Raw genomic sequence first — 26,327 nt, 5'->3', positions numbered from 1 at the left:
GAATCATGGAAAGTTAATAGTCAGTTTGGGAATTTTTGTCTGGTCACGAATTCATATGAAAATCTCTCTTTAAGAACATCATCGATTTGGACTCTCACTCTTAGAAAATATTTTTAAAAGAATTTATATTTTTAGAGCATTTTAAGTTCACAGCAAAATGAAGAGGAAAGTGTAGAGATTTCTCACGTATTCTCTATCCCAACACAAGCATGTCGTTTCCCTTTGTCAACAACCCCACTAGACTGGTACGTATGTTACAACTGATGAACCTACATTAACACATAATTGGCACACAAGGTCTATAATTTACACTAGGGCTGGCTCTTGGTGTTGTACATTCTGTGGGTTTTGACAAATGTATTATGATATATATCCATCATTATAGTATCACAGAGTTTTTTGCCTTGCCCTAAAAATCTGCTGTGCTCTGCCTATTTACTCCTGCAACACCCTGGTAACCACTGATATTGCTAGTGTTTCCACAGTTTTGCCTTTTTCAGAATGTCATACAGTTGGAATTATATAACATGTAGGCTTCAGATTGACTTTTTTCATTAGTAATATGCATTTATGTTTTCTCCATGGCTTGTCATGGCTTGATAACTCATTTTGTTTTATCACTCAACAATATTCTATTGACTGGATATACCAAAGTTTATTTTTCCATTCACCTTCTGAAGGGTATCTTCGTTGCTTCTAAGTTTTGGCCATTATGAATAAAGCTGCTGTAGACATTCTTCTGCAGGTTTCTGTGTGGATATAAGTTTTCAACTTTTTGGGGTAAATACAAAGGAGCACAGTAACTGGATTATTTGGTAAGAATATGTTTAGTTTTGTAAGAAACAGCCAAACTATCTTCCAAAGTGGCTGAACCATTTTGCATTTCCACCAACAATGAATGAGATTTCTGTTGCTCCACATCCTCACCAGCATTTGGTGTTGTCATTCTGGATTTTGTCCATTCTAATAGGTACGTAGTGGTGTCTCATTGTTAAGATTGTTATCTGCTATCTTTACCTAAAATCCAACCTCCTACAGTTGAAATGTTGACAGTTCTCTTTTGCATTTTTCTGGTGACATATAATGTGGATCATCTTTACATATGCTTATTCGCCATCTTCTTTGATGAGGTGTCTGTTAAGATCTTAGGCCCATTTTGAATCAATTTGTTTTATTATTGTTGAGTTTTAAGAGTTCTTTGTATATTTTGGACAACAGTTTTTTGTTAGATATATCTTTTACAAATATTTTCTTCCAGTCTGTGGGTTATATTCTCATTCTTTTACATGTCTTTTGCAAACTAGATTTTTTTAAAAAAATTAATGAAGTTCAGCTTATCAATTATTTCTTTCGTAGGTCTTGCCATGGTGTTTTATCTAAAAAGTCATTGTCATGCTCAAGGTCATCTAGGTTTTCTGCTAAGTTGTCTTCTAGGAGTTTTATAATTTTGCATTTTACATTTAGGTCTATGTCCATTTTGAGTTACTTTTTGTGAAGGATATAAGGTCTGTGTCTATATTCACTTTTTGTATGTGGATGTCCAGTTGTTCCAGCACAGTTTGTTCAAAACACTATCTTTGCTTTATTATATTAACGTTGCTCCTTTGTCAAAGATCAGTTAACTGTATTTATGTGAGTCTATTTCTAGGCTCTGTATTCCATTTCTTTGATCTATTTGTCTATTTTTTCACCAATATCACACTATTACTGTAGCTTTACAGTAATTCTTAAAGTCTGGTAGTGTCAGTCCTCCAACTTTGTTTTTCTCCTTCAATGTTGCATTGGCTATTCTGAATCTTTTGCTTCTCCATATAAAATTTGGAATCAGTTTGTTGATATCTGTAAAAAACTTGCTAGAATTTTGATTGGGATTGCATTGAAGCTATAGATCAAGTTGGGAGACTTTCTAGTTCTTTTCCTGTCTTCGTCCTTTCTCCCTTGTAATCACTTTCTAATTGGTCAGATGAACCACCTCTCAACATGCCTAAGTGTTTTCTTAGCCATGATCTAGTTACAATGTCATTTATATCAGCAGTGCTGAGGGCTTGTTTGACAAGGAAAGCAACCCCCTGTGTCAGTTAATTGGGTAATAATTCACTTTTATATCAAGTTAAATTGTTTGAATCTTTTAAATTGATAATGAGCTTGGAACTTCTCCTTAAACACAAGAATAGCTTGCTTTGGGAGGAGTAGGCTATTTGCATTCTGGCGTTGTCCTTGCTTGGGCATAGATATGCTTTCTTTTTTGAGCTTGTATGAATGGTTACTGCAGGCTAGCCTCTTTTAGTGGAAATGAAATGCTCTCAAATTCCTGGGAATTCACCAGATGGTACCAGACGTCAGAATATAAGTGGTGACTTTCACCTCTTTAGTGGATGCTGTGTTGACTGACATAAACCACATCTTCATGATGAAATAGCTGATGTTTGTAATTAGAGAGGAAAATGCTGTATGGCTTATGTGCTGTATGGCTAAGATATCGACTCTGCAAAGATTAATGGGATAACTTAATGGATTTGGGGCATAAGACCCATTGTTTGAGTTACATTTGGGGTCACACTTGGGAAGACGTTTTTTCCTGTTCTCAATAAGGTTTTAAAAAGCTGCTTATATGATTATAATTTATTTAAGAATTTTCTTTAAGCAATCTCTCTTGTGAGATTTTTAAGGCATCTTTGGATATACATTTAAAATATTTTATCTCATTTCACACTGTCTTAAATTTGGCTTTATAGCATATAATGTTTTCTCCCAAATTATACCATTGTCTAAGTCTTTGAGAAGCAGATGGATGGGGTGAAGATTATGGACTATCAGCAGAAATCTTGGTGAATAGAGTTTTGGAAACTCTTAGTCTCTTGGCAGCAAGAAAAAGCTTTCTGCCATTTATTAACAGAAACTGAGCAAAAAGACAAATAATTCTTTTATTTTCCTCCCATCCTAAACTTTTTGTAGGGGTAAATTGAGTTAGTTTTGTATAAATGTATTAGTCAACTTGGGTTGGCATAACAAAATATTCTGGACTTGGTGGCTTAAACAACAAAAAATTTATTTCTCATAATTTGAGGCTGGACATCTGAGATTAGGGGACTAGCATGCTTGGGTTCTGGTGAGACCTCCCTTCCTGGCTTTTAGATGCCCACCTTCTCATTGTATCCTCACATGGTGAGAGAGGGAGCTCTGGTATAGCTTTCTCTTCTTATAAGGACACTAATCCCATCACGAGTCCCCACCCTCATGGCCTCATCTAAATCTAATTACCTCCCAGAGGGTCCCCTCCAAATACCATCACATTTGGGTTTAGGATTTTGATACATGAATTTTAGGGGACATATATGTTCAGTCCATAATAATAAATGAGAGCTTTTCTCATTTTAAATATGAATGTGTCATATTTCAGTGTTTTTTGTTGTTGTTGGAAGAGAAGAATCATGAGACATACATTCGTTTAATGTTGTATCAAATTTCCTCTTTGATGCTCAGACTTTTTCTTAGTAACAGGTCATTTTATACTTTCCAGGGATGACATGGCTAAAGCAGGAGCTTTTATTTTCTTCTCCTCAGTCATAGATCCCTATCGAATTTCTCTTTTACTGTTTTTCTTTTAAACAAAATTTAAAATATTGTATTTCACAAATGGGCTAAGAAAGAGAGTATGAAAGAATGGAAATAACATAATACCAAGAGTCTACATAATAGTATCTAGTTTAAAAGTATTTCAGAAACACAAAAGTTAGGAGAGAGAAAAGGTCCCAACAAGCAGGCAGGTGGCTGTACAAGAAAAGGAGCTTGCTAATGGCTGGTATGCTTTTCTGAACACTTGAATTACTGCATAAACACATCCTTAATATGGCCATAACAAACAGAAAGGTATGACTTAATGATCAAATAATAAATAACAAAGAAAAAATAATTAAGCTACAGGTGTTACATGATGAAGCCCTGAACCATGGAGCAGAGTTCAGCCAAGTAATTTTAGCAGTTCTGCAGGATTTTTAAATCTCTCAATTTAATTCATATATTTCTATGAAAAAGAAATGTTATTTTTTAAAAATGCATTATTCAGATGTATTTTACCTGTTATATTAGAAATTATTTGTAGTTGGTTGATAATCATCCATGAAATTATTTTTAACAAACCTTCACAGAGTGCCTACTCTGTGTAAAGCCCCATGCTACGCACCATGGATGCAAAGAGGTCTCACAGTTCATAGTCTAGTAGCAGAGATGGATGGTAACTTTGCAATTACAGTACAGGATGACAAGCTCTGTGTTTTTTAAGGAACAAGAGATGCTTTGTAAGAAGGGCCACCTAAACCCACCTGGAAGACTTTCAGAGGAAGCTGATATTGAGGCCACATGAGACTAATTTGGAAAATGGAGTGGTAGAAGAGTCTTTCTAGGGAAAGGAAGAAGCACATGCAAAAGTGTTTGGCTCAACCAGTACTTTTTAGTTGAGTATAACTGGTACATAGCAAGTGCAAGAACTGGGCAGATAGATAATTATTATGAAGAGCCTTACCTGAAGTCACTGTGAGTGAAGCCACTGTAGGGTTTAGAAAAATCAAAGAGGTAGCAGTGTAGCAGGTAGGTTAAAGGTGATTACAAGTACATGTAGAAAGACCAGTTAAAAGGTTTTTTATGGTAAACAAAGGAAGAACAAATAAGTTTCTAAAGGTAGTCAGAGTTGACATAGATAAGTGTCAAAAATGTGAGAAACATTTTAGCAGTAGAATTAATTGAGATTGATGATAAATTTGGAGAGATGGGAGAGTAAAGGAAAGTGAGAGGTCAAAGATGACATTTAGGTCTATGATTTCAATGATGCATATGGGTGCTGCCATTCACCTAGAGTAGTCTGGGAAGAGAGAAAGATCGGTAGGAAAACTGATGGGTTCAATTTGAGTTGCATTCCATTTACAGTGTCTTTTTAGGCATTCAAGTGGAAATTCTCACAGGTAGTTTTATATAAAGGTAGTTATATATAAAGGTCTAGAGATGAAGAGAAAGACCTTGGCAAATATGTATATTTGGGAATTATTGCATACTTGGTAGTAATTGACACCATTAGCATGAATATATTATCCAGGAGGATTGGCCAAAGGATAAGCTTGTAGCAAGATTATCTCTTAAGAAGCAGGTAGAGAAAGAGTAGATAATAAATGACACTATGAAGAAATAGCTGGTGAAGCATGGGGCTGGTTTCCTGAAGTCAAGGGAATTTAAAGAAAGAACCTAAGTTATAGAGGCAATCGCTGCAGCGCAGCAAAGCAAGTTACACATTGGAAAGTGGAAAGGGTGATAATACAAATTATCATCTAAAATAGAATATATTTGAGAATGCAAATGATTGTTATTAATAATTGTGATAAGACAACAGGTATAAATGAGGAGTCCTCCAGGCAAACCAGAATAGATAGTCATTCTATATTTAGAAGAATTATTTCAGTGAAGTAGAGGCAGTGGCTGTAGATAGGAATAGTTAAGGAGGAAAGTGAATGATAAGAAATTAAAGTCCTCCGGTATAGACAATTTTCTGGATTAGCTAATTTTTGAAGAGGAGAGACTGAGTGATAAGAAATTAAAGTTCTCAGGTATAGACTAATTTTTGAAGGGGAGAGACTGAGTGGTACTTAGAGATGGATAGAGGGTAGAGGGTTAAGAGAGAATGTTTTTTTCCTGGCAGACACTTGAACAATCTTGTAGGTGAGAGATGTCAATGGAGAGGGTGAAGTCCAGAAATTTATGATAAGAAAGAATAAATGAAAAACTTCTGGATGGGAGTGTAAGGGGATAGCAGGACTAGTTCCAGAAAGGGGAATAAAATCAATTTTTTAAAGAGACAGGAGAAAAAATAAATAGAAAGCAAATATAGCAAATATGTGGGTGGGTGGGTGTGAAATCGGGCAAGTTTTCACTTTATTGTCTCTGTTTTCTCTGTAAAATATGAGAGTAAGCCTTCTGCTGAGAGTAAAGAATGAGATTAATCGATAGGGAATTGAGAAAAGCAGGTAAAATAGGAATGGTTAGTCTGGATAGTAAGAGACAAGCTGAGTAGGAACACACAAACAGATTTTTAGCTAATATTAAGGGTTAGTTTGACATCATTAACTTGCAGTGACACAGATCTGCATAGCTTGACATTTTATTCCCACCTCTTCCATTTTAGTTGGTAGTGATTGTAGTATTGGCCAGATTGAGGTTATGGTAGGCAGATGCAGCAGGAGGAGGCAAAAGAATTGAGGACTAGTCAAAGGGGCGATTCAATACTGGATTATTGTCCACATGAGAAATGGGAACAAGAGGAAACTGATGAATGGATAAGAACAGAAATGTGGGTAAATTCTAAGTCTCACTCAAGTTAGGAAAGATGGATGTTAACAGTAGAAATGAGATAGCTAGAAGTACAGGAATCTGTATTCAAATCAGTGGATAAGACTTTAAGATTTTACAGCTTTGATAGTTCTGGGTGTGATCTCTATCAGTAAACCAATTAATCTTACCTCCATCCATATTTTATTCCTTCCATGGGCTTGCTGCAGGATCCTGTGTCTTATTGTCCTCTTGGCTTTCTTGACTATATGGTTTGACTCTAATTCTTTCTCTATTAGCCCTGGAAACGTCTTTGCTGGGGACAAGTAGCTCACTTCTCCAAGACTCTCTCTAATACCTTCAGAATGTGCATGACTCATGGGGAAGTCAGGAAAATCACTTCCAAACCTTTTACCACTAATTCTGGCCCAGGCTGCAATTTCCTCCTGCTGTGATCTTTTTGCTTTCTCACTTTAAAAATCCAGACCACGAAACAGTTCTTGCCCACCTAAATAACTTTCCATGCAAGTCATTAAAATTCACTTTGATTTTGCCAAATGGAGGAAGAAACTTGGATCCTTTCACTGTGGGAATCTGCCTTGGTGCCACTAGTTCTTTCATTCTTCCCCCCCATCAATCAGTGAACTTTTTAGCCTACTCAAAGCTTTGCTCCAATGCATAGGATTTATGATTGTGGGGATTTCCAGATAATATAAATATTCAACATGAATATTTTAAATTAAGGCATGAGACATTTTTCCTAACTGAGCATAGCCATGAACCTCTCACGTCTGTTCCTCTGTGTCAGTTTGTAGCACTGAATACAGTAGCCCTCCTAAAAGTCCAGGCAGTGCACAGGTCTTGACATGATGAAGTGACGTGTTGCTATGGTGATTTTGCAGCTGGCCAAATAGTCACTGGTTGATTTTACCCAGCAGGAGATTTTTGCAAAAATTTCCTGGGTGAGAGTGAAATCAAACTCCTATTTTGTTTCTCCTCTGCAAGCTGTAGTTAAGATGGATTAATGAGTACTTTTAGATTAATTAACTCTGAAGAGAAAATGGGAGAAAAGTGAGGAAGGTTGTTGGCAGAAGTCATTGCTGGAATCCTTCTGAAGGGAGTACTGACTTCACTTGCAAAGACAAGAGACTAGAAGACAATGAAGTTAAACTTGGCCTGTCTCTCATATGATAGATGCTGAGAGTACAGGTTCAGGGAAATTTAATTCTGTCATACGCATATTGGATTATGTGGTCATGGCTTTGTTTGGCACTAACCAGCTTTAATCAGATAAGAAAGTGCTTGATAGAGTAAGAATATAATGCCCAGAAAAACCTGAAAACTTGAAAAATTGTTGGTGCTATGTTGTTGTTCTAAAGACCACTGTGATATTAAGCAAAATGAGAGGGAAAATGTTACCTATTTTCTTTCTGCCACTTGGATTGTTTATTCAAGGTCCTCAAAGTTATAAATATTAAATAATCTGTGAAAAAATTAGAATCAATGCCAGGCCTGTGTGATCATACCTGTTACTGCTCTACTTGTTTAGACATAAATGCAGTTTAGCATTAAAGATCCTTTAAAAACATGTTTTCCCAATGGTTAAAAGACAAGCTCAAATAAATGAACTCTCATACATATGCCAAAATTGATGAGTAGATAAATATTTCAGTAGGTAGTTACTAGCTTTCTGTGTATGAGTAAACATATGGGAGAAATTTAAAACACTAAAGTAGTCTCAATGAAAGCATAGTATCCTATGTATTCGTTTTTCAGAAATGTCTAATGAAGGAAGGAAACAATGAATGAATGCCCTTATTCCTCTTAGAGTGCTGGGACATGGTTTTGCCTGAAAACTTCATGTGAATTTTATATTTTGCTACACATTACACCCATCTTAGACTTATACGTATAAGACATAAGGCATATCTTATGTCTTACATGTATAATAATCTAAGCAGAACAAAAAATAATGAAATATTTTCTTCCCCAAATTTTTGAGACAGATGGATTTTCCGGAAAGATGTGTTTAGCTTTTAATCCTGTGGTTTTGTGTACCACCTGGCACACTAGAGTGTTGCTCTAATTCAGTGAGTTGTAACTCTGGGTGAACAGTGGAAATACTAGGGTACATTTTAAAAATGCTAATGCTCGGGCCTCGCTGAAGACAAATTAATTGGAATCTCTGTGGGTGGCATTGATACTTTTTATAATCTTCCTAGATGATTCTAATGTGCATCCAGGGATGAAAACCACTGCTGTAGCTGGATACTTACTTTAGTTTGAGAAACACAGATGAGGTTATATTAGGCATCAGCTATTATTGTACATGTCTTCACATCTTATCTCTTTTGGAAATGTCCAAATTATTTCACTGGGACCTTAGAATAGTTGTTGGTACAATGGTAATCTGACTGCAGAGAAATGTAAACTTGGTCCACCCTGAAACACAAGCATGGTGTGTAGCCACATCAGATCCTGAATCAGCAGCATACGAGCTATTGATCCTAAAATTGAGAAACAGAACTCCTATTTCTTAATATCTTGGACATTATTTTTCCCTATGGTAACTTCTTACAAATAAAGAAAGTTTCAATTTGACAAAATCCAAATTGTTGATTTGGGGAAGTATTTAATAGTTACAATTTTATCAGTTTGAATTTAAAAACTCTACCAAATTCTTCTACAATATTTTCAGTATTTGCTGAAAGATGACATCCCCCTTGCCTTAATCATGTGCCAGATTACTCGTAAACCTGGACCATATGCCACTGCAATTTGCTGATGGGCCCAAGCTGTTTTGGTAGATAAAAAATCCAAGGGGATTAGAATGGCTCAATCCTTACTGTGAACAGAGCAACGGCATAGGGCAGCTGTATGCTCTCTTCTCTCTCCTTGTCCACACAGCCCCTCTATTTTCTCAATTTAGGTCATTGATAACCCAGACCTGAAATTCACATCAATGCCCACAAAAATGTATTTTGCTCTAAATAAGGCCTTTCTTTAGACACTTAAGACAGAAACCAAATGTCGGAGACACACACATCATGCAAGGGATGGAATATAAATTTTTGTTTGTAAAAGTAGTAAATGTTTCCCCAGTTTTGGCTTCAGGATGGTCCTGGGGTGAAAAACACTTTTAAATTGATGAGTGACATAAAGAATCTTTTTCCCTTACTTGGCTCCTGTTTTCTGCTCAGCATGGTTAGTGGTGTTATTCTCTGTCACCAGTGTTTACAAGACTACAAAGTTTTTTTGTTGTTGTTTATAATAAAATGAACTTCTGTGACACTTGAAATCAGAATCAGATGGTTGATTAAATTATTAAAATTTAAAATAAACTTTGGGAAAATGTAATTTTCTGGAAGACATTTTCCCATACTTCTACTTTTCCTTTCTAGTACAAGAAGAATTTCCACAAATAAGGAAGTCATTGTGATTTATTTCTTGTGTCTTGAGATCCATTTTCCTGATAGCAGCCATTCATTTTAAATGTCTGACATGGTTTCTTTAAATATAAAGCAATAAAACATATTGCTTTGAAGTATTCTAGTTATTCAGACTGCTAAGATTGCTTTATACAAATATCAAACCATGAGAAAATGCTAATTATTCAGAATTCTATGTTACTATTGAATAATTTGCACATTGCACAGTTATGTGTAGGTCTTGGAGGCTAGAATAATTGAAGTTTATAGTTGGAACCATTTTAGAAGTTCATCAAACCACATTTGAATTATCTCTGTGTTATCCCCCTGCTCAATTCAAGAATACTGTCTAAATTTTTCTAAAAATCTTATCAGAAACTTCTAGTGATGAGGAATGCAAGAGAGGCATTCTTATTGTTGGTTTGAACCTTCCTTCCTATAATTTTGATTCAATAGTTCTGCCTTTGAGAGCTCAGCAGAATAATTTTAATTTTGTTTTTCTTCATGATAACCTCTCAAATACTTGTTTGAGAGGCACACTTCTAGACTCATAAATTTAACAGCCATGATGGCCAATTTTATAAATGCACTTGCCACTCACTCTATACAGGGAACAATGTTGTCACTTAGAGGCCCAATCACATCATCACAAACCGGCCAATATCCATATATGTGTCCCAAATTGTCGTCCAGTCATTAATGACTAAAAGTATCTTCCCAGCAGTTAAAAAGGGATTGTGTTCTCTTGCGAATCCTGCTTATTCTCTTTTTATTGAACATAAAGTATGGCTTATTTAAAAGACATGACATCGCATCGTGAAAAGGGACTCATATACCTTTCACATTCCCCGTGGTGGAGAGTTCTTTCTTAATTACACATTAAATTCTTATATTGTCTCTTAGTCAAGTTTCTTTTTGTTGAAGTTGGCATAAACATAAGAAACAGAGGGATTATTACTATTATTTTGTATTAACAGGACTCCAGTATAGGACTGACAGGATTCAAGCAGTGTAACCAGGATTTCTCCGGGTCTCTCATCTCTGTTGGTCTCATTTACTTTCACTCCAGATAAGCTTTCTTCATGTTGCAAATGACATGGTCATAAATAGCCTCCTTGAGTTCATGTCGTCCCATTTCAGTGACCCTATGGGAACGGAAAAGTTCCTGTAAGCCCTTGCATAAAAAATTACATATATACATACCATGGCCATAGGATGTGATACCATGATTGATGAAGTCAGAATCACATGCCCAGGTTGTACCCAGGTCCCAGTAACTGGCTTCTTCTCTGATCTCTCCATCCCTTTTGTCCTCTTCTGCCCCCATCTAAATGCCATAAATGCTGCCTTGGCTTCTTTCTCATTTCAGCAGTTCACTTTTCTGTATCTTTTTTCTTGTAGTACGATTCTTACCAAAATGAGTATTTATGTCTTAACTTTTCTGAAACTTAGTTCAACAACTATAAAGTCAGATAACAATACCTATAAGTACTGTTACATAGTAGATTGTTGAACAAATATAAGTTCTCACTTTTCCTTACGTTTATATTAGGAAAAAGTTTTAAAGAAGGTAAATATATTGACATGGAAAGTGATATTGTATGATTAAATGTACACATAATTAATGTGAATGCTGTGAGCTTAAAATTTGAAATTTCCCAGTGATTTTTGGAATTTTTAAGTTGGAAAAATATATTTTTGAACTTACAATGTGTCTACTGTTGATTTCTGTCCCTAAAATGACCTAAAAGTTGAATACATTTATGAATACGTATGTATTTAAATTCAGAGATCAATTATATCATTACGCCCACAAAAATGTTCTGTTATATGGAAAGATTTAAGGCAGAGTCATTTACAATGATTAGAAAACAAAATACAGAATTTATGATGCATGATCTGAGTTACACAAAATTTTTTATGATGCATGATCTGAGCTACCAATGTAAAAGATTCCAAAGGATCTTTTTGTCAGATAAGAGCTTAGCATTGCCAAGCTGTACAGATATATCTATTTAGTTTTGATAGTTAAATAAAGTACCACTAAATTTTTTTACATGTTAAAACATCTTAGGCAATTCTTATAAACAGAGTAAACGATGTGGGAAGTGTGAAATCACAAATGTTTTTACTCATTAGAGATGATGTTTTATAGTTTCATTACTTATGAGTTATCAGGCAGCTGTAACTTGTAAAAATGATTTTCATATATTCCTAAATATTATGTATTTTCTCTTTATTTTTGAAAACATGTAAATATGCAAATGCACATATTGAGAGAGTTTTTTTTTTATATTTAGTTGGTTATACCAAGTTGTTAAAATAGGGTTTTAAAATTCATTTGTCAAGACATCCCAACCATGGTATAACTGAACATGCTACCAAAATTATTTATGTTCTTACTTCTTCACAAGAAGGGTCACTTTTCCAGAGGCATAACAAACTGGCAGGTTGGGGTATAGAGAAACGTCAATAATGTCAAATACTTTTTTCACTTGAAGTATAGCAAATTGACCATAATTTTTTTTTTTAACCAATGGGCTAAGTCAAAGGGTTAAGCAAATAGAGAAATGGAAATCTGTTTCAAACCTGTTTCCACACAATCACTTCAAAGAAGTGCATAGAGGCAGTGTTTTCAATAGGTTGTAAGAACTAGGCTGGCTTTTGGTATGAAAAAATCTATTGTGTCCATTGTAATCTGTGTAGGGTATGCCCTACCTCGCATATTCTTAAGTCATATTTTTACTCCAGTTATTGTGGCAGGAACCAGTAGTGTGCAGTTGTAACCTGATAGAACCTCAGCTACACAGTAATATCTGTGCCTGCACGGAGTAGGGTGAGACAGAAATGTTAGCTAATGCCAAGTGCTATGGAGGAAAGTAAGACAAGGAAGAGGAAGAAGAGCACTAGTGCGGAGAGGGGGTGGGTGCAATTTTCAAAATGTGATCAGTGAAGACCTAACTGGGAATGTAATATTGCAACAAAGACCTGAAGGGAGAGAGAGAGTAAGCCTCTCTGAGGGAAAGAGCCTTCCAGGCACGGAAACAGTACAAAAGCTCCAATACAGAAGTATGGCTGGGATGTTCATGAACCCAAAGGAAGCCAGTGCTCCTTCTGTAAGAGAGTTAGCCAGAGAGACAGAAGAGTGGGAAAGGAGGTGAGAGGGAAAATGGTGCCAGGATATAGAAAGCCTTCTAGGCCTTTCTAAGGATGATGGCTTAGACTATGATGAGACAGGAACTCAACAGAAAATTTTGCAAGAAGGACTGACATGATCTGGCTGATGTGTTGGAACTAGGCTGGAAGGTATGTGGACTTGTGAAAGTACAGACAAAAGTACAGACAAAATTCTTCATAATTATTCTTGAAATAATTCAGTGAAAAGATTATACTGGTTTTCTAAAGGGTAGAAGCAATAGATGGAGGCAGATAAGGTGAGAATCTAGATATATTTAGCAGGTAGAACCAATAGGATTTTCTAGCAGGCAAGATGTGAGTCAACTGACAGAGAGAGGAGTGAAGGATAACTTCAAAGTTTTAACTGAGGATTGAGAAGGAACAAGTTGCTATTAACTGAGACTGAGAAGGCTTTGACAATTGGTAAGTTGGGGATAAAATAAGTTTGAGATACCTATTAGACATCAAAATGGAAATATAAATTAGGCAATAGGCTAAGTATATGTGTCTAGAGTTCAGAAGAGTTCCTGGAATGAATTGTAAGCCTGGGAATCATCATCATGGAGATGGTACTTAAAATAAAAAAAACTAGATGAATCCTAGAGGTAGTATGTGTATGGAGAAAAGAGAGGAGGTCTGAGGACTGAGCTTCGGGTCACTCCATTGTGTAAAAGTTGAGGAATAAGGAGAAACCTGCAAAGAAGCCAGAGGAGAAGTGGATATTGAGGTGGAGAATAACGGAGAGAATGTGAAATCTTGGCGGCCAGATGAAAAGAGTTTGAACGGTGTCAAACACTGAAGAGGGAGATGAACGTTGAGAATTAACCATTGAATTTAGCAATGTGGAGGCCATTGGTGACCCTGAAGACCAGTCTCAGTAGAATGGTATGGGAAAAAGTCAGAAGGAGTTCAAGAGTTAGGGAAAAGAAAATTAAAAACTGTGAACACAAACAACTTGTAAAGAGAAGACCAGAGTGAAGTAGCTATAAGGGGGCCCAGGAGGTCAAGAGAAGAATTCTTCTGCTAATATTGGAGAGATAAAAATATGCATGTACACTGTTAGAAACTATTTGGTAGAGAGGGAAAACTATGATGCAGAAGAAGAGAAAGAACTGATAGAGCTAGGTACTTGAGTAGGCAAGAGGTCATGCAATCCAGGGTACGAGGGACCTTTGATAAGAGCAATTTGTACAAAATTTCAGGATGACAGGAATCTGGGAGGAATGTATTGGGCATGAAGGCAGAGAGGTGGTTAGATGTGGTGATGCAAGCTTGTGGGAGCTGTCTCTTCATTGTTTTTATTTCCCTTGTGAAATAAGAAGCAAGATTAACAGCCAAAGTAAAGATGGGAGAAGAGATGCTGATGTGTGAGGATAGAGAAGGAAGTTAGAAATGGTCCTCTAGAAATGTGGGAGAGTGAATACACTCAGAAAATGTATATAGTTTCCGAGCAACGCTAGGGGCCCATTTGACAGTGGGGCATATACATTTAAGTTGGGTGCTTTTTTCCAGCCATGTTCAGCTGAGTGTAGGTGCAGAGTAATCAGAGTTGAACGTAATCCAATTGAGGTTTTTGCAGCCTAAAATGATAAAATGAGAGAGGTGCAAGAGAATTGAGTTGTACACAAGAGTGATTTTCATAATAGTGGTTTTATATTAGATAGATACATGTTTTTGTTCAAATGAATTCTCTCATCTGACGTTAGGCTTTCTATTGGAGATATTACATTTTATTCATCTAACTACGAAATCCCAGAATCCTTTTTTATATTTGCCCCCTTGTTATCCAAATACACTCAATCACCAAGCAGCAGCTGCCCTATCATTCCTGTCTTCATCAATTTCACTGCCACAGAAGGTAAATATAGGACCTGACAATGCATAGAGGAAACAGTGCAGGGTAAGGTGAGAAAAGCAGTCTAGGGTTACAGTATGAGGGTTCTGGAATTCTGGGTTAAAGAACAGCATTTTTTATTAAATGGGGGAGCCCAGGGACTTCTTACATGGTGACAGTCTTCCCAAAGTGAGCAACCCTAGAGAACCAGGAGGAAGGGGCATAGCCTTTTATGATCTAACCAAACAATTCTGGGTTACAGAGTAATATTCTTAATTACACAAGACAGCATTGATTCTCTTTGATATGATTTGGCTATGTGCCCACCCAAATCTTACCTTGAATTGTAATAATCCTCATATGTCAAGGGTGGGGCCAGGTGGAGATAACTGAATCATGGGGGCAGTTTCCCCTTTAATCTTCTCATGGTAGTGAATAAGTCTCATGAGATCTGATGGTTTTATAAATGGGAATTCCCCTGCACAAGCTCTCTTGCCTGCCACCATGTAAGACGCGCCTTTGCTTCTCCTTTGCCTTCCGCCATGATTGTGAGGCCTCCCCAGCCATGTGGAACTGTGAGTCCATTAAACCTCTCTCCTTTATAAATTATCCAGTCTTTTGTATGTCTTTATTAGCAGTATGAAAACAGACTAATATACTCTTTCAATAAAGTGAATCTTAGTATCACACATGCTTTAGAAGAATTAATTTTCAAATTAAATGATACTGGGGAGAGATCAGAGGTATGGATAAAAACAGAAGGCTTTTATATTTGTTCAAGATAGGAGATAATACTAGTTAGAAATACAGTAGTAGCACGCAAATGGAGAGAGGGTGACTGACGAAAAGATATTGTAGAGAAAAAAGAGTCTTGACACCTAGCTGAAGGTGAGTATCAGGGAGAGGAAGGAAGTTAAAACTGTCTCTCTGCATGATTGCCATACTTTGCTCATGAATTCCTGGTCGGGAATTTTTGGAAGGGCTTAGCTAGACAGTTGCTTTGAGTCTCTCATCCAGGTGCAATCAGATGAGCACTGGGGCTGCAGTTACCTGAAGATAAAGTTGGAATAGACATAAAAGATAGTTCAACTACATGCTGGCTGCTGGCTGCTGGCTGCTGGCTGCTGCTGGGAACTCAATTAGGATGGTTGCCTTTATAGACTACATATAGTCTTTCTTGGATGGTTGGACTTCTTCCATGGCAGCAGGCTGCCCCAGAGTGAACGCCCCAAGAGAACCAGGGACCTCAAAGCCTTTTCTTACCTAACCTCAGAAGTCACACAGCTTCATTTACATCATACTCCATTGGCCAAACCAGTTGTAAGTCCTCCTAGATTCAATGGGAGGAGATTATAGACCACCACATTCTTGGGAGAAGTATCAAAGAACTTTCGGCCATTTAAAAAGAAATGTCCCTCCCACAGTAAAATGGGAATAGCTTATTACACTTGTCCATTTTGCTCTTTCCCCCAGATGACTATTAACTAATTATTTATACCTAATTAACACATTCATCCTGAAAACTTTCAATCTTGGCTCTGCAAATTACTAGCTGTGTGAACTTGGAAAAATTATATAATATATCTATTCCTCAATTTTCTTCTCTGGAAAATGGGAATACAGTAGTGCCTACCTCATAATATTGTTGTGAGGATTAAATGAGATAGTATATAAAAAGTCCTTACTTCTTCTTATGGTAAGCACTCAGTACATATGAGCTGTTAGTTTTTGATGAGCATGGTCAAGCAGATTCAAATAGAGAGATTCTAATGGAATGTTCTCACCATATTTATTAAGCACTAAGTATGAGTAAGGATTCCATGCATACTAAAACATATTCCCCAATCTTCCAAATAATCCTTCAGAGTTGTGTTTTTATTGCTGATTTACAAATGAGAAAGCTGGGCCTCAAAAACATTACACATCTCCCTGTATAAATCACAGCCAGTAAACTTACACAGTGGAAACTTGAAATGATCAAGGAATAAATTAATGGTTTTGCAAAAAGCTTTGCTCTAAAGAGGCATCAGCAAACTCCAGCCTACTGCCGGTTTTTGTAAATAAATTTTATCAGCACACAGCCACGCCCATTTGTTTACATATTTTCTATGGCTGCTTTCACACTTCAACAGCAGTGTTGAATAATTGCAACAGGAACTTTATGGCCTACAAAGGCTAAAGTATTTACTATCTGGCCTTTTATGGGGAAAAGTTTGCTAACTTCTGCTCTAAAACATAAAAGAAAGTGTCCTAAGAGGAAGTTTTTGAACTGACTGTGGCCTTTGCTGAGTAACTGAACCACATAACATGTAATGGAAATCTATAATATTTACAGAGTGATATGTATAAAAAGGCCAAATTTCTCAGTGAAATTAGAGAGCAAATCTTACCCTTCATTCCCTACTTCCAGAGATGTTCCCTAACACAAGACAAAAATACATGAACTGCACCCGGATTTAAACATTAATTTTGGGATGTTTGCCAGACCAGATGGTTAGAAAAGCTAAGTACCATTGATTTATTTCTTACCCTTTAGAAAGCAACATTAGAGACAACGGACCTTATCAGAACAAATGGGAATAAACAACAGAATGCAGATCAGAGGAGAATTAAGAACAAATGCTATTGGATTTTATTATGCTATAATTAATTTTGTATGTAGAAAAAGCACTAATTATTAGTAAATTGTAAACTGCATCAACCAAGCTTTAATGTTGTATATTACATTATGACTATAATTTGCAGTACCCCGAGAATGTTCTCTTCTTGCAAATGCAATTAATCATCTATCAAATATATTTTCAGTATTTAGTAAATGTTAGAAGCTTGGAAAACAGAGATTAATAACACTTGATCTCAGCAAGCATTATTGCCATACAGTAATGATTTCCATTGTAAAGGTGTGACAGTGGCTTTTACATTCTCTTGGATCAGAGACCCTACTGAGAATATGATCACAGCTGCAAATCCTATTTCCAGGAAAAACAAAATGTGCACTGGTACTCACCAAGAAAATATTACATACAATCGCAAGAGGGTTTAGATTTCCTGCAGGTCATTCATGCAATCCACACAGGCTTAACCTCAATTTTAGAATCTTTGTGGTATAGCATGGGCACAAATGAAAGAGTGAGGCAGTGTATATGTATTTAGTGTGTGTGTGTGTGTGTGTGTGCGCGCGTGTGCATGTGTGAGTTGGGAAGGAAGATAAAGCTTCAGAAAGAAGTTGGGTCTTAGCTTCTTCTTCAGGAGATTAAGATGGAAAAATATTTTCTAGGTAGAAGGACTGGCTTATGGAAAAGTAATGAGATGTGATTTGGCAGGGGAATTCAGCAAATCAAGGCAGTTTAGTGTGAATGACACAACTTTAGAGTGAAAGAATAAAGCTTTGGAAGAAGAGGCAGGAAAGAGGCTAGAGATTGGATCACAGAAGTTTTCGAATATTACATCAGAGTGACGGTCTTTTATTCTTGATGGATCATACAGCCCTAAAGGGGATGCACACTGTAAGACATGCCATTCACCAGAGAACATTTAAGGCCATATATTTGTTTCAGCCTGGTTGTTTATTGTTTATTTTCTCTTTTCTGTGTTTCTTTTTTTAAAATTAAGTATGTGCTAATAAACAAAGATCCTTATGTGTAACATATCATAGAATTTATTTTAATTTTGTAGCAATCCTGATGAGTAGATTTTATTTTACCTGTTTTACCAGCAGGAAAACTGAGACCTATAGAGGTAACTAACAGGATCAAGCCCACATAGATGAAAGTGGCAAAGCTGAGAATTAAATATCTTTTTTTTTTTTCTGACTCCAGGTTCTATACTTTTTCCCCTGGGCTAAGATACTGAGCCTAATAATTTTTTTTCCATAAAAATAACTGATAATCTCTGGCTAATGTAGAACACTACCTTAGAGCCAGTCAGATTATTAATTAAAATCATACTTTAAAAAAGTCCAAGAATTTTGAAGGGAATAGGATTTGTTTCTCTTTTCAGTAATCCCTTTACCCTTACCAGCCCTTATTTAGTTTTTTATTTTGGTAAAGAAAAAGTTGGAGGTAGGCTTATAGCTGGGGTTTAACTGAGCAATCTGGATAGACTGGAAAGGCTAAGACCTGGATTACAAGGTGCTGGGAATTTCTTTCCATCACAAATTCTAAGCAACAGACAAAATTGCAGTGCAATAAAGAGACAATAACTTAAGAATTTTAAAAAAATGTTTTAAGTCTTCTCCTACAGGAGTGAAAATATATAATGACATAACCACAATGTGAAGAAGGCATTGATGGCCAAGGAATAGCAGAAACTTGAAATAGTTGCAAATACAGTCTTCTCCAGTATCAAGTATGGCTTGGAAGTCTCTCTCTTAGCTTTGCTTTTTGGCATAATCGATAATTTCTAGATGGCCTTCCCAACATTTGAACCTAGTCAGCTCATCAGTTCTTATTGAAACTACATACCAATTAAATACCACAGATTTTGTGATGATAGAACAAGGAGGAAGGGGCAATGCACAAGTGAATTTTGGTTGGGATAAGATTTAGAACACTGTCATGAGGAACATCAGGCTGAGGCATGGCACAAGGCGTGACACTTTAACATCAGATGAGTGCCACTTAAGGATATTCAAAATCTAATAGAAAAGGAAAAGATGATGATTGAAAACGTCAAAAGGGAAGAGGCTTCAGTGGATGAATCTGGTTTGGTTTGTAATTGTGCTCAGGGCCTGCTCTGATTATAATACAATACGACTCATCCCTTGGTAAAATAATTTATAATGAAGCTCGTGGAATCATACTGACAAGAAAGGAGGGAAACATCAAAGGCACCTCCTCATATGCCATAAATGACAGGAAGAACATCTGGAACAGAACATGCTGGGTGCTGTTTGTCTGTGTGCCCCCTTCTGTGAGGAGAACCTCTTATCCTGTTAACTTAGAGCCAGGCAAACCACAGCTCTGTTTACATGGAAGTTGCTGTGACCTTCCCGGCATGCCTTCCTGTCAGCTGGATCCCAAGCATAGCCCCATTTCACAGCCTTGCATCATTTTCTCGGAACACAGCCATGTGGAGAGGGAACAGCTGGGAAGGGATGGCTGAAAAAATCCCCAAGGATTCTATAGAGGGTCTAGAAATCCTCTTTTTACCAAGTAAACTTAAGGATCCTGAGGTTACTTTTATCAAACACAATGTCAGTGTGAGGAGAAAGAAAAACAACAACAAAATGCAAGTTTGAGTGATGTGACCACATTGCAGGGCAAAAAACTTTTGTAAACAAGGCTTAAAGTTTTGTATATGTTTTAGCATTTGGTTATGTGATGACACACATGTTTACCAAAGCCTAAGAACAGATACTCTTGATACAACAATAGGGCATAAAGTCCTGAGAAAATACATACATTCCCATTGTGTTTTAATCATTGAAATCCATATTTTAAGGGTTCTTTCAATGGTTCAGTGTCACTCTTCACATTGTCACTCATTTTTTTAAAATCTCATTTTTTAAAAAAATGATCCTTTAGAACTGTTGATGTATCCGTAATACAAAATGAAAGTATGTTTCAGTTGTTATCATGTAATTTTATCTTATTCCTCTATATTGAAATAACCAATGACTAACACATATCTCAGAGATACATGAGGCAATTTTTCCCCTCTATTTTGGCTCTTTAAATGAATTTCATTGCTGCTTTATAATTCACAAGCTGGGTGTTATTGTGAAAATTTTTAATCTCTCTGTGCCTGAGTCATCACACCTACAAAATAGAGATGATATCAGAATCTACTTCACACAGTTGTTTGAGAATTAAATAGAATAATATATGTAAAATACTTAGCAAAGTGCTTGTGACATAGAAAGTCCTCAGTAAGTGCTACCTATAATAATCTTTATCATCATCATAATTCATTCAAATGAATATCATTTAAATAATGATAGCCTCTCTTCTAGTGGGTCAAGGACACACTAATTTTAAAATAAGTTTTATGTTTATGATAGCATTTAACTTCTGTTATTAATTTCACAGTTATCACTACTATCTAATTTGAGAAAACAAAAAATGTCAGCACCCTTCAAATTTAGTTAGTAAGGGAGTTATAGATAATGGGGAGCTTTTGGAAAACTTATCTCAAACTCTAAAAATGTTCAGTTTTAACTTTCAGGCATGATAAAATATTTGAATTGTGACAAATCTGAAAATCTCAATAACTAAAGTTTGTTATTTGCAATCATATTTGCAATCATATACTTCATCTAACCTTTAAAACTAATGTCAACACAGAGTTTTGAGGTTTTAAAATTTGTTTATTCAAAGAAAACCTGGAAGCGTGTATCCCACTGTGAAATGCTCAAAAAAATATGCCAAGCAGAGGAAGTTGAAAACAATGTTTGTGAATTCTGAATTCATCTTGTTTGCTATGTTTTACGGCACCAGATTCTCAAGCTTTTTGAGAAATGCTCAGAGATGAGTGGAAAGTGTTTTAAAATCAGAAATGACATGTGTCAGTGTCTATCTTCCATAGCAGGGAGACTTCCCTTTGTGTAAAGGGCAGCCAAGCATTGTCTTTGGCTCTTCTTGCACGCATCCCGATGACATAAATGGGAGGGTCAGATTGAAATCTTTCCAGACTTGGATACATCATGTTTTGAACTCTTTAGATCTAGATATTATGATAATTTCCAGGCTTAGAATTAGAAATAATGAGAATTAAATGCCCTCATTAGGTACTTTTCTAAAGGTTTCAAACATAACTTAATTGGGCCAACTCCTGATGTAATAAACAAGGAAAGTTTCCCACATCCCTGTGTAGAAGTATACTGCATCAACATGATTAATATTTTCATGTTCCAGAAATTCTTTTACTTTGGCTTACCATGACCTTAGATTCCCTAATAGTCACTTGTTTACATATTTTTTCTATTTTAAATTATTTTATTTTATTTTTGTGGGTACATAGTAGGTGTATATATTTATGGAGTACACAGATGTTTTGATACAGGCATACAATGTACAACAAACACATCATGAAGAATGGGGCATTCATCCCCTCAAGTATTTACCCTTTGTCTTATATCAAGTGAAATAATCCAGGCCTAACAATCATTTGTTTTAGACATCCTCTGAAACCAGATTCTAAGATAAAGCTTCTGTAGAGGTAGTTTATTTATGAAGCAATCTTTGAAAGCAAGAAGTGGTGAAAGATTGAATAGGAAAGAGGAAAAGCAAATGCAATAATGCATTATTGAGTCTGCCACAGCAGCAGTGCCCAGTTCTATGGGTCACTGTGAAGAGTTTTATGGTATGCGCTTCAGAATTGGTCCAAAAGGAGTAGAGAAGATATCCTTCCTTTAGCTTCTGTGTCCCATTGGTCAAGGAACACCTCGCTGATATTTACTCCCTTGCACTTCTGAATGATGCATTAAGTTCTTGCAGAATTTCCATGTGGGCACATCAAACCAACCAAACAAAACCCAGCTGGAATTGAGAGATATTTAGCCCAGGCCTGTATCAAGTGCTGTCAGGTTGCACTTTTGGGAAACTAATTGAAACCTTCAAAGAACTGATCAACACCGCAGTCTTGGAGTAGGCTATAAAGAAGATTCGAAGTAGAGCCCAAGAGGTATCATTCCTTTTACCTACAGTTCATCTCTTTCACCTCTCAGTTATTCTTATTCCCTCCAGTCCATCACAGAATCTTTTTCAAGGTAGTGGCCAAACTTGCAAGGATTTAATAACAGAGTTGAACTAATAGTAGAGTTGAATGAACTACAGTCATCACTAGTCATAGCTAGTCCTAAAGCCACGATCAATATTTTCTCTTTTCCACCATCTATTTTGAATTTTCCTTATATTTGTCCAGTAGCTGGTCTAGTTGTATGCCTTGTAGAGAGATCCCAGAACTAAGGGTTTGAAGCCCTAGTTTCCTTGCCCTTGCTGGACTGTGGTCACTGAAGTTGCTGATTCTGTTATCACTGAGTGTAGAAGCTCCAAAAGACATCCCAGTGAGTCTCCTCCTTTCCAGATACATTCTTGCTTGATCTCAATGTGTAACAGCAATTCTAATTCCTCATGGAAATCAAGGTCAATTATTATCCCCAGTGTAGTTAACTCTTTGTCTGCTGATCCTCCAGCATGATGAGTTCAGCACGACCAGTGATAGTCATAGCTTCAAGCATAGTAGAACCCTTAAAGTGATACACTGATGGAAGCAGTCCATCCTAGGAAATAGGACTTCTAATACAACCTAAAATGGCAGTGACAGGAAGCACATATTCTGAAAGTGAGCCACTGAGAGTGATGGTGAAAATCACCAACGCTACTTCTACCTTTGGTTTCCAAACCTGTGTACATTTTCTACTGGGGATACAGGACTGGGAATGGGCTATTGGTTCAGAGTATAAGCCACATTCTAAGGGACTGCATCCCAACCTCACAAGATGTTATCCTTGAGCTGTTGCCTTTGCAAAGCCACTTAACATCATATCCTATTGTTTCATCAGACTAACTGCTTCTGGGTGATGAGGTGTCTAATAGATCCAATGGATTCTGTGAGTATGTACACATTCTTACATCTTCTTTGCTGTTAGTGTCTACTAGTGTGAGGCAATGTTGTATGTAATACCATATCAATGGTTCAGGTAAATAATAGTAGTGTTGGAAAAATTTTCTCTAGGTATGAAATGAAAAGCCAGATTTCAATTGAAATTAGACAGTTGGATAGTCTCAGGGATGGTGTCACATTGCTGCTAGTGTTAAGGCATTCCATAGAGGCAGTAACTAGATCATTTGTGGTAAGTGAAAGCCCATGCTATTTAGTCCTCTATCCCCATTTAGTTCTGTATCTCATTATGTCAGGGTTATCCTCTATCCTTGAGTCAATAGCCATTTCATTCATGACTCATTATGTCCGCAAAAATGTGGCTGAGTAAATAAGATGGTTGACACCCAAAGGAGGGATCATCTTGTCCAGTTGGTTGTTGGGTGCCTATTCTGTGATGGATGCTCTTCAGTGGGTATTAATGTGAGTCATGATATTTGCATATTCACATACTCTGTGCCCACTTCCATTATTTTATCCACTTCCTTCTTTTCCAGACTTCTATGCCTCTGATCTTTGATTATTGTTCCTTCAGGTGCAGGAGTCAATGCCTGAATTGGGACAAGAGGCCCAGACTTTTATACCACTTCAAGTGCTAGTTTTTGAGTGAGCCATCTTTGACATCAAGTCCAGTTGGGCTTTCAGATAACTGTAGTTTCAGCCAACATCTGAGTACAACCATTTCAGAGCCCCATAGAGTAAATGGTCTAGCCAAGCCCTAGCCTAACAAATGAGGGACAAAGTGAAGTGTTTGCTTCTATAGGTTGGGGGTAATTTGTTAGGCACCAAAAAAACTAGAATCGGTTACTATGTGCCAAGTACTCTGCTCCATCTCCATGCATTATCTCAGTCAACATCTTTACTCCTGACAACACTGCAAAATAAGTGTTATTTTCATTTTAGAGATGAGGAAAGTAAGCTTCAAAGAGGTTAACATTCTTGCAATGCCATGCAGCTAAGAAGAGAAAGAGGTGAAATTCAAATCCAGTCTAACTGTTACCTGAGAAATAAGATTAAAAGAAACAAATTTACAGAGTAACGCCCACTCTTTAAGCAGGAAAATAATTGGCAACATACATGATATTAATTGATTTAGAAATACCCATGTTCAATAAAATAATTACAACATCTTCTAGAGTTCAGCATGCGCAGGCTGGAAATGAAAAATTTGGCTGAGAGGGCCCTAGTGAAAAACAAATTTAACTATTACCATATGAATGTTGTTGCCTGAGTAGTGTTGATGCCAAATTGCTGAGCAAAAGGTATTGGAAATAATCTGTAACAATTTTTGTAAAGATGTTTTGGCATGAAAATGAGGAGCCATTTTATTTTGAAATACTGAAAAGCATGAGTGAAAACATAATTAGTATCTATAAAATGTGAATAAATAGAGTGCTTTGCTTTAAGTGACCTTTGATGAATTTTAGTTCTTTCTTTCTTTATATATTTTTTTCTTTTTGAGACAGAGTCTCACTCTTGTTGGCCAGGCTGGAGTACAGTGGCACACGATCTCAGCTCACTTTAGCCTCTGCCTCCTGAATTCGAGCGATTCTCCTGCCTCAGCTCCCGAGTAGCTGGGATTACAGGCACGTGCCACCACACCCAGATAATTTCTGTATTTTTAGTAGAGAAGGGGTTTCACCATATTGGCCAAGCTGGTCTTGAACTTCTGACCTCAGGTGATACACCTGCCTCAGCCTCCCAAAATGCTGGGATTATAGACATGAGTCACTGCACCTGGCCAATTCTAGTTCTTTAATGTGCCATTACCTATTTAACCTAATCCCCCCAAAGGAGAAATCAGTTTCTTTCCTTATCATAGTTTATAGGTCTAATTTATCATGCTTTGTAGGTCTATTGTCAAAACAGAAATATCAAATTTCTTCAGTGGTTCTTTCCTATATCCTTCTATATAATATTTGGTACTTAGGGAATAGGTTGGATGTTCAGGTTAAATTTATTAGGATTTGATTTGCTTGATCCATGGTTGTCAAATGTGAGAGTGCATAGAGTGATCTTGGAATGCATAATAAAAACTGTAAATTCCTGGGCCACATTGCCAGAGATTCTGTTGGAAAGGCTACAGGTTGAGGCCAAGAGATCTACTTGTAAGGAAGACTCTTAGAATTTCTATTGCATATGGCCTGAGTATCATATTTGGACAAACATTTTCCTAGGTATTATGCCAGTAATTTCATTAACTGCCATCAGATTAGAGGATGCCAGTCACCATAAACTGCCAAATGTGTAGAGGTCATACATTTAAAGGTATATGCTTTCTAAAAAACAACAACAATGACAACAACAACAAAACTACACTACCTTAAAAAATATTCAAAATAAATTAAATCCCTAAAGTGTACATAAAATGATTATTATAACTACTTGGAATATTGCTTAAAATACAGTTATATCAAGATTTAAAGTTGTGCAACAACCTTAGCACAAAATGTTTTCTTTATAATATGGATGATATTTAGGTATAATTACATATTAATATGTAGTATATTACCTATAATATGTCATAATTATATAGAAAATATAACAGCTATATTACTATACATTAAGTAAAATAATTATTATTTAGTTTAACTTTGCTATCAGCTTAATTAAAATTGCCAGGAAACTTGCAAATATAGATAATAAAAAATAGTCAAGGTTTAAGCAGTTACACAGTACTCACAAGCTGACTATTTATTTATGTGTTCTCAATTGCCTAGAAGTATCAAAAGTCAATATAAAGTCTATATGTGTTTTTATTGCCTTAATAGCTCTTGGACTTGATTTATCTTTAACTATATATCCTTGTCTTTCAGGCTTTCCCTCCAGTAATTCTACATAGAATTTCCCCTCATCATCTGTGAAATAGTTATGCCTTATCTCAAAATGATCACGATCTGAAATGAAAAATACAAAGGACAGAGTCTTAAATTTTCCCTGAAGAATTCAATTTTTTATTAATTCAACAGCTAATC

At 36.4% G+C, this 26,327-nt stretch overlaps 1 long non-coding RNA gene across 1 annotated transcript in view; it reads right to left on the bottom strand.

The window, feature by feature from the left end:
* Window positions 1–8,927: 8,927 nt before the first annotated feature.
* The window catches only part of PCAT4 (prostate cancer associated transcript 4), a 35,777-nt gene continuing 18,377 nt past the window's right edge, over window positions 8,928–26,327 (bottom strand). Inside the window, exon 2 of the long non-coding RNA NR_026555.1 lies at window positions 8,928–10,885. This is a non-coding gene — a long non-coding RNA (prostate cancer associated transcript 4). The remainder of the gene's footprint in view (window positions 10,886–26,327) is intronic.

The sequence above is a fragment of the Homo sapiens genome, chromosome 4, assembly GCF_000001405.40.
Source record: "Homo sapiens chromosome 4, GRCh38.p14 Primary Assembly".
Taxonomy (NCBI): Eukaryota; Metazoa; Chordata; class Mammalia; order Primates; family Hominidae; genus Homo; species Homo sapiens.
This window is presented reverse-complemented; position numbering and strand designations above follow the sequence as displayed.